Below are 9,072 nucleotides of genomic sequence, written 5' to 3' on the forward strand. Positions count from 1 at the left end.
CCAGGGTGGAGTGCAATGGCATGATCTTGGCTCACCGCAACCTCCATCTCCTAGGTTCAACGATTCTCCTGCTTCAGCCTCCTGAGTAGGTGAGATTACAGGCCTGCACCACCATGCCCGGCTAATTTTGTATTTTTAGTAAAGACTGGGTGTCTCCATGTTGGTCAGGCTGGTCTCGAACTCCCGACCTCAGGTGATCTGCCCGCCTTGGCCTCCCAAAGTGCTGGGATTACAGGTGTGAGCCACCATGACTGGCTCTTCCTTTGATTTTTTTTTGCTCTCCTCCCTGCCCTCAAGGTCCTGAATGCTGTGCACAGGCCCTGAGAAGGGTGAAGGGAGTGGTCATTTGTTGAGTGTCCAACTGTGAGCTTTGCCCTGTGCAATGCATTGGCAGGTGCTCTGTCATTGAGCAGGCGAATCCCAGTCCTGTAAGATTTCATCAGCATATAATAGATAATTCTATCTTTAGAAGTAACATCTGCTGAAATAGATTGCTTCCAGAATAGGCTGCATTCCTCCTGGTGGGAATCCTTGAGTGCATTACATTCTTCATGGCTTCAGAATCGGGAGGTTGGAGTCAGCCCTGGATGCTGAACCCTTTCCTCCTCCTCTTCCTGTGTCCTCACAGCTGAACGGCCCTGGGCACTCTGGTCTTTCCAAGATTACAACCAGCAGGCCTGGTTAACGTGGCCATACCAGAGCGTGGGTGGCTGATGACAACTTCATGAAGAAATGAAGGGCCAGGGAGTGGGGACACCCCCTCGGGTAGAACATCCCCTCTCTGGCCCCCAGGGGCCCATCAAAGAAGGGGTGTGGATAAGACCATCTAGAGCTGCTTCTCACTCTTAACCAATCTTTGCCAGTGTTGGGGATTTGAGGCCTGATGACACAGTGGGGACAATATTTTTAGGTTGGTATTTTTCGTGCTTTTCACATTAAGCCATATGGCCAGAAATATTCCTTCCAGAGATTGCATTATCTTTGATAAGATTGTAGAATGTTAGAAAAAGAGAGTCACAGGGCCGGGCACGGTGGCTCACGCCTGTAATCCCAGCACCTTGGGAGGCCGAGGCGGGCAGACCACGAGGTCAGGAGATCGAGACCATCCTGGCTAACACGGTTAAACCCCGTCTCTACTAAAAATATAAAAAAATTAGCCGGGTGTGGTGTCGGGCGCCTGTAGTCCCAGCTACTCGGGAGGCCGAGGCAGGAGAATGGCGTGAACCCGGGAGGCGGAGCTTACAGTGAGCCGAGATCGCGACACTGCACTCCAGCCTGGGCGACAGAGCGAGACTCTGTCTCAAAAAAAAAAAAAAAAAAAAAAAATAGAAAAAGAAAAAGAAAAAGAGAGCCACAGAAACTTACTGTCATGGAAAATTAAAAGAATTTAATGCTGGAATTGCAGGCAGGGCCACCCATGTCAGACTTGTTCCCACTGATTCCAGTGCATGCTGTCAGCACAAGGTAGGTGATCAGAAAATTAATGTATGAATGAAACTCTAGTGAATTAAATCCTAGAATGATTGACAGAATTTGAGACTCAAAGAACATTAGAATTATGGGAAAACATTATTCACTTATTCAGAAGAGGGAGCTGAGATCCCAGAAGCTAGTGACAGTCTTCTGGGTGCTGAAGGGTCCATGGCTCCTGGGGCAGGGTTCTTTCTACAGAGAAGGGGTAGCCTGGGAGGCTAGTGATGGTCCAGGACATATCTCTGAGCTCTCAAGGAGGGATGAGTTTGCAGGAAAGGAATTTTCCAAAGGGAGGGCCTTTGGTGCCAATGTTCCCCAGGCCTGGGACTACAGCAGCCCGAGGCGGGACCTCCAGGGACGGGGGGGAGGCCGAGCATAGCCTCAGCAGGGCGGGGTGGGCCCGGTGCACAGCTTGTTGGGATAATGGGCATATTTGCGGTTGTAGGTGCCCAGGTTGCGGCGAAAGCAGAGGGCAGCCCTCTTGTCACACTCGCAGGTCAGCCGCTGGCAGGTGGTCCTGCCGGCTGGATGGGACAAAGTGAGTCAGGGACCACAGAAGCTCAGGATATGTGTGGGACAGCTCTTGGCTGCTTCTGGGTCCACGTTCTTGACCTGGACCAACTCCATTCTGATGGAAGCCCAAGCTCCCGGGTTGTTTCACGGATGGGTGAGACAAGAGACAAGGGCGGGGCGCACTGTGGCTCAGGACACCAGGGAAGCTGGAAGCTTGCCCTCGCTGTCCCTCCCTGCTCTCCCAAGCCCACGCTGACTGCCCTTAGCTCTCTCCGGCCTTAGGGACACCACGTGGTTCCCTAACTCTCACTGCCCCCGACCAGGGGGATTTCTAGGCAACCCCTGCACCCCTGTGTGATGCGTTGCTGATGGCGGATTGTGGCCATCAAGCAGAGAGGACAGCTACGAAATGACAGCAACTCAATCTGATGGCTATGTGTGCCCCAGAGTGGCGTGGGCCTAGGCTGGAAGCCACTGGGACCAAAGCTGGAGGCTGCTCAGGGCCCTCTGCCTGTCCTCATCAGAGTGGACAGAGCCCAGTTTTCTGCCCATACCCAGCCTGGGAGTCAGACTTCTACCCTGACCTGTCCTTCCTAGAGCCAGCTGGCATCAGCTCTGTAGGGGCCCAGAAGGCTCCTCCTGTCTCCACTGCAGCTGCCTCTGTCACCTCTGCCTGCAGTGGCCCTGGCTCCCTTTTGTCCCCATGACTGTATCTCACAGCTCAGGCCAGGTGCCTCATTTCCCCTCTTGAAGTTGAGCCTTCGTCTCCCGTCAGGGCTCTGCCCACGCCCGCTATGTCAGCAACACCCAGGGTTGGAAGGGACTCTTAACGCCGAGCCGGTCAGCCTCTTTTGGGGGGCTTTTTCCAGGAGCTGGGCTGAGCTGGGGAAGTGGGTATAAGCCTCTCCGTTTTCTAGGTGAGGAAACAGAGGCTTTCCAGGGATTACATCACTTGTCCAAAGTCACAGGCAGGTGGAAGGTGACGCCCTGGGTAGAATCCAGAGCTTGTGTCTCCACCCACCTGCCTCCTCCCCTCAGCCCTGATCCTGGCAGGTGGCTGCTTCTGCCTTGCATGGACTCCCAGCGACAGAGACTCAGTACCTGGCACATTGCCCTGCCGAGTGGTTGGCGGCAGAGGAAATGGAGCCAGCTCTGCCCCGCCGCCAGGACAGAATTTAGAGACCTGAGTCTGCCGCGACCTCCCGAATCCTTCCGCGCTGCAGCATCCGCCCACCAGGCCCTGCCCTTCTTTCAGGCTGCTCCTGGCTTTGTGGCAGGGAGAGAGCTTGGCTCTCTCATGTGGGGTCCCTCGACAGTCTCACTTGGTTGAGGCTGCTTGCCTGGGCCTGGGACTGAAGGAAAGCTAATTGGTCCAAATGGGCACTGGACATGGCACAGCTGAGCAAATGGGTCCAGCCTGACAGTCCCATTGAGGAGTCAGCCTTTGGAAACAGCATCTGCTGTCCCCAGTCAAAGCCCCAGCTCGTTCTGTCCGAAGGACTTCACCTTTAGCTCCTGTTGAGGCCTTGGGAGGGTGCCTGAGTCCAGCTCCTCTGGGCCCTGGCTCAGCTCAGACCCCTCTGCTCCTCTTTCCAGAGGCTGGAGCTGGGAGGTGTCTGTGGGTAGGGAGATACCTGGGGCTGAGGGCTGCACTGATGGGGTACGGGCTTCTCTGGCCTGGGTGCCTGGTGAACATCTGGGTCTCCACTGTTACGTGGTAACGGGAAACCCCATGCCTCCAGCCCAGGGTCTGGCTCTGATAAGGCCCAAGGTCACCATCAGGAGGGGCTTCCTGTCTTAAGCTGCCTCCACCCACCTCACCGCAGGGTGTCTAGGTCACTTCAGGGCTCTCCACCTACCGCAGAAAATGCCACGTTCGCTGACAGAGAAAAGATACTTTTCCAGTTTGGGCTCACAGCCCAGCTTCTCCAGACGCCCGTAGCAGCAGTCGTGGGCGTGGCAGCACCTGTAAGGGTCATGGTTGACCTGGAGGGACCTGTGAGCCAGGCTGGGCTGGACCAGGGGCTGCTCGGGGCCCCCGAGCCCAAAGCAGCCCAGAGGAGAGATCAGCCTGAATTTTCCAGGTGCCCCCAGGCTTCCCTCCTTCTCCCAGGATCCTCCCAGGATCCCCCAGCTCCTCCATCCCCATGGAGGTCCCCCTGCAGGCTGCTTCCTCACCAGTCAGTCTGGTCCACCGGCCAGTGGGAGCCACCGATGCCGCAGTAACAGCCATAGTCGTTGTACTGCAGGGCGGACTTGCCTGTCATCTTCTCGATCATCACCCCAAACTGAACCAGGTTCCCGGTGACCAGAGCCACTGCAGAGAGGGAGAGGGAGAGGGAGAGGGAGGGCCCCACCCTCTGCAGCCAACTTCCCCTGATGTCCCCTCAAATCTGATCACAGGCATCTCTCCAGTTGTCCAGTTAAGCTCACCTCCCCAAAGCAACCCACTCTCAACAACAACCGTGGTAATAAGTAATAATATTGCCAGTGACATCCGTTGCACCTTCATCCCCTAGTCCTCTCCTCCAGTGTGTCAGCGCCCCCAGTGTCCCCTCCCACTCTTCTATCTACTACAGTGTCACTCATTCACCCCTTCCAGGGGCTCCCCACCAGCCACCAGTCCTCCCCAGGTGTCAGCCCTTATCTCACCCAGGAACACTCTGTCCCCCCAGGTCTCATCAGATGGCACTGGACCTGTCTCCTGACCACCTCAGCTGACCTCCCCAAATTCTTCCCGGTGCTCCTGACTCAGCCATGGGACTGAATCCTGCCCACCTTGGCAGGTTGGAGCCAAACATGGAAGCTAGGATAGGAGAAGGAGCCTAGGGTGTGCCATCCGGGAAGCGCCAGCCCCTGGCCCATGCCCCTCACCCCTCCCAGCCTGCATTCTCCTCCCCTCTGCTCCAGCCACCGCTGGCTCAGGCAAAACTGGCCTCAGGGTCACCCTGGTGGCAGGAAGGGGGCAGCCTCCAGTGTTTGGCATCCACCACACCCTCGGTAGGGCCAGGCTCAGGGGCATCCAGGGAGCTTGGGGTTGCCAGATGGGGCAGAAGGCTGAAGGTCACAAAGATCACTTACCCAGGAGGCAAAGGAACACCAGCACGTGGGGAGATTTCATCCCAGGTTGGGGGGAAGGGAGGTGCACAAGGAGCATAAAAGGCAGCAGAAGAAAGCAGCAGGGCCACCTCTGATCTCAGGGAGCCTCCTAATTAGTTAAATACCCAGGTCCTGTCCACTCCCTGTCATTAACCCGTGAGTGCCCAGTGATGCAACGATTCTTCCAGGTCTGACACTTTGGCCAAGTCCCCGGGGAGGGGCCAGCTGGGGCCTGTGGGCTCTGCTTCCAGGCAGTGTGGGGGATGGCGGGCAATCTCGTGGCTCTTTCTACTCACACCCTTCCCATCACCCACCCTTTCCAAAAAATCATCCATTGACCACGCTGTGAGGCGCGGGCTGTGCCAGGTGCTTGTCATTCTTGGTATCTTTTCCTCATCTCCACTTGACTGAGACTCAGAGAGACTGAAAAACCTCAGTTCTCACAGCCTGGAGGTGCCCAGGGCCAAGTCCGTCCTGTTTCAGAGTTTCCACCCGGGCAGAACCGGAGGCAGGAGGCCCTGGCCTGGCCTGGCGCTTCCCCTCCCCGACCCTCCTGCTCTGGTCTGTGACTGGGATCACTGACCCTGCACCTCCGTCACCGTTCAGGGCCTGGGAGTCGCTGGGTCTGTGGCCTTGGAGTCCTGGTTCCACTGCGTATTAGGCGGCCGTGGGCAGGTCCTTTCCCTTGCTTGGAACCTCAGTTTTCCTGCCTGTATTATGAGGATAGAAGGTGTCCCTCTTGCCTCCCGCACAGGAGGATGGAAAACTCACACGCAACCAGGCAGCCAGCCCTCACCAAGTACTTGCTATGCACCAGGCGCTGTGCCAAGCCCCTTTCAAGCAGGACCACAGCCCCATCACGTGGGTGCTGCAGTCATCCCCATCTTACAGAGGAGGGAAACTGAGGCACATGCATAAGTGATGAGCTAGAATTTAAACCCAGGCAACATAAAGGGCTTCACCTGGGCCAACTCATCCAGCACGAAGTGGAGGTGGTGCCTAGCAGCCATACTACTTTTAACCCCAACAGAATGTGTTACTTTCTTATAAAAGTAGGAGAAAAACCAGTACCATCCCACCTGGATTATATTTGTCTTCAAACCAAGACAGTCATAACATTTAATATATGGAGGAAGAGCCCACAAAGGCTGATGTGCCCAGGGCCCGTGACAACCGGTGTACTGCAGCCCTCGGCCTAACCAGCGGGCTCCAGGCTTCAGGAGCTGGTCTAGGGCCTGGTGCCAGCCTCCGTTCCAGGAGAGGAGACTAAACCCACTGAGTCTGGGTCTCACCCTACAGGCTGGAAGGAATCCCGACACAAATTCCCTGACCCCAACCAGCCGGAGGATAGAGGCCCGGGGAGGTTTCGCCTTGGAGTAAGGAGAGGAGGGCTGAGTGTTCATACTCTTACGTTAAAAACCTTTTATCGGCCGGGCACGGTGGCTCACACCTGTTATCACAGCACTTTAAGAGGCCAAGGCAGGTGGATCACTTGAGGTCAGGAGTTCGAGACCAGCTTGGCTTACATGGTGAAACCCCATCTCTACTGAAAATACAAAAATTAGCCAGGTGTGGTGGTATGCGCCTGTAATCCCAGCTACTCAGGAGGCTGAGGCAGGAGAATCGCTTGAACCTGGGAGGAGCAGGTTGCAGTGAGCCGAGATCACGCCACTTTACTCCAGCCTGGGTAACAAGAGTGAGACTCAGTCTCAGAAAAAAATAAATAAATAAAATAAGAGTAAAGCCCAGGAAACCCTTTTCTCCCTGCCCCTCCCATTCATTTCCTGCTAATAACTCCTCCTGGGACTCTCTTCATGCTGGGCTCTTCTCACCCTGTTTCAGAGAAGACTTGCGGGGAGAAGGGGTCAGAGAGGTGAGTCCACCTGCCCAGGATCACCTAGCAGCTGTGAGTCATGGTCTCCTGAAAAGAGAGACCTTTGTTCACGATTTCCTTTTGATCTCCTGGCAGCCCCTGCCTCTCCTGGCCTGGGTTACGAGAGCCCAAACAGTGAATCACTGAGGAGTTACCTTCTAAACAACTGAAAATTAGCGTCGATTCCCTAGTAGGTTTGGCCCACAGCCATTCCTGTGGTGGCATAAGGGGTGTTTCCCAGGAAGGGCCAGGTTTCTGAGACGATCCTTTTTGTGACCCATTTTGAATCCTGGCCTGGCTAGGACAGGGCTCCTTCAAGTCCCTGCAGGTCTACACCTGTAGCAGAAAAGTAAAGACTGTAGGGCCAGAGCCAAGCAGAAAAAGGCAGGCAGGCTTCCAGGCGGAGATGCTCTCAGTTGAGGTTTAAAGATGGAGTGTTGGTAGGACTTGTTCTTGGAGGACAGTTCAGACATTTGGGGAAAGGTAATTGATTTTATGGTCTCCACCCATTGGCACAATGCAGTAGAAAGCATCAGCAAGACCAGAGCTTAAGTGATGGCTTCTGCACTTAGGGGCTGTGTGATCTTGGCCAGTCCCATCACTTCTCTGAGTCCAGCTTCATCATCCATAAAATAGAGGTAACTAGACTGTCCTGTCAAGGTTGTAGACCAGAAGAAATGGAAATGAAATGAAATGTGGAAAGCCATTGCAGGAGGCCTTGCCCGGGAGCCATAAATATTGGGTCCCTCCTTTTCTCCTTTCCCTGGCCACGGAGAAAGCAGATGCCCCAGGAGCTCAAGGCACTTACTCCCACTGGGATATAGCATGTGGCCTGGCCAGGGCTCCCAGCACTTTGATGGGATTACTGTCCCTACTTGACAGGTTTTAACTTTCACGATGGAGGGTTGTTAGGGTGGAGGTGAGTGGAGGGAACAGGGCCCAGCCTCTCAGTGATATCTTTTTTTTCTTAGTATAAACTTCTTCCTTTTAGCTTAGAAGCCACCACCATCATCATCATCATAATCACTATCAGTATCATCATCGTCAATATTACCATCATCACCATCACCATCATTGTCATCACCATCAATATTACCATCATCATCACCATTGCCATCACCATCACCATCTTCATCACCATCAATATCATTTATATGGTTTTTATCTGTGTCCCTACCCAAATCTCACATTGAGATGTAATCCCCAATGCTGGAGATGGGGCCTGATGGGAGGTGATTGGATCATGGGGGCAGTTTCTAATGGTTTAGTACCATTCCCCTAGTGCTGTTTTCTAATGGTTTAGTACCATTCCCCTAGCAGCTGTGAGTCATGGTCTCCTGAAAAGGGAGACCTTTGTTCACCATTTCCTTTTGATCTCCTGGCAGCCCCCGGCTCTCCTCGCCTGGGTTACAAGAGCCCAAACAATGAATCACTGCGGAGTTACCTTCTAAACAACTGAAAATTAGTGTCAATTTTCACCACCTGTAGAGTACCTGAAGTCCGGTGGCACCAAAGAAATGAGAAAAGACAGGTTAAGAGTTCATAAAGGTGGGAGCCAGGGGGCCAGTTGCAAAATGGAGGCTGCAAAAGGCTCAGAGCTCTGGTCTCCACACTATTTATTGAGTACAATTATTTAGATCTAAGAAGCAGACGTTCAGGGTGAAACAGTGAAAGGGTGGCAGTGCATCATAGGCGTAATTTATAGCAATAGTGGTTTAAATGAATCTACTTTGTGCTCAAACAGTATATCTTTAACTTATCAGAGAGTAGCTAGTGGGAGTGGGCTTAACTAGGAGCCTGCACGTCTGTCCACATTCCAGTGCTTCAAAGGAGTGTATTTCTCCTTGAACACAGTGTTTACAGATAAGAGAGCGGGTCTCGCTCTGAGCATGGGAACATGATGGCAATTAGGAGGCTTTCCTCCTCAGAGGCCTCTAGTGGCTTTCCACAACTTATTGTCCTATATTTTTATGGCCAGTTTATACAGGTACCCCACAAGCCCTTTTCCCAACATGCCCCCCTTTTTCCTTTTTTAAAACCACCATTGCTATTATGGCTTGTTCGTGGTGTCTGGTTTTTTTTTTAGAGGCGTCTTTCGCATCTGTAGACTAAAG

At 53.7% G+C, this 9,072-nt stretch overlaps 1 protein-coding gene across 1 annotated transcript, besides 2 other annotated features; it reads right to left on the bottom strand.

The window, feature by feature from the left end:
* Positions 1–1,556: 1,556 nt before the first annotated feature.
* PLA2G2E (phospholipase A2 group IIE) lies at positions 1,557–5,165 on the bottom strand. Its single transcript, NM_014589.3, has 4 exons — positions 5,068–5,165; positions 4,165–4,303; positions 3,846–3,952; positions 1,557–1,997 (listed from the first exon to the last, which is right to left on the bottom strand). The coding sequence occupies exons 1-4, from the start codon at positions 5,105–5,107 to the stop codon at positions 1,855–1,857; spliced, it is 429 nt and encodes a 142-aa protein (NP_055404.1). The 5' UTR covers positions 5,108–5,165; the 3' UTR covers positions 1,557–1,854.
* Positions 1,991–2,543: an enhancer, noted in NCBI's record as "H3K4me1 hESC enhancer chr1:20246936-20247488 (GRCh37/hg19 assembly coordinates)". NCBI's record gives its function as "activates a minimal SCP1, AML or CMV promoter by ChIP-STARR-seq in naive H9 embryonic stem cells {active_cell/tissue: H9 hESC(naive)}" and the evidence as "EXISTENCE:reporter gene assay evidence [ECO:0000049][PMID:30033119]".
* Positions 2,544–3,096: an enhancer, noted in NCBI's record as "H3K4me1 hESC enhancer chr1:20247489-20248041 (GRCh37/hg19 assembly coordinates)". NCBI's record gives its function as "activates a minimal SCP1, AML or CMV promoter by ChIP-STARR-seq in naive H9 embryonic stem cells {active_cell/tissue: H9 hESC(naive)}" and the evidence as "EXISTENCE:reporter gene assay evidence [ECO:0000049][PMID:30033119]".
* Positions 5,166–9,072: the final 3,907 nt, after the last annotated feature.

This window comes from Homo sapiens, chromosome 1 (genome assembly GCF_000001405.40).
Source record: "Homo sapiens chromosome 1, GRCh38.p14 Primary Assembly".
NCBI lineage: Eukaryota > Metazoa > Chordata > Mammalia > Primates > Hominidae > Homo > Homo sapiens.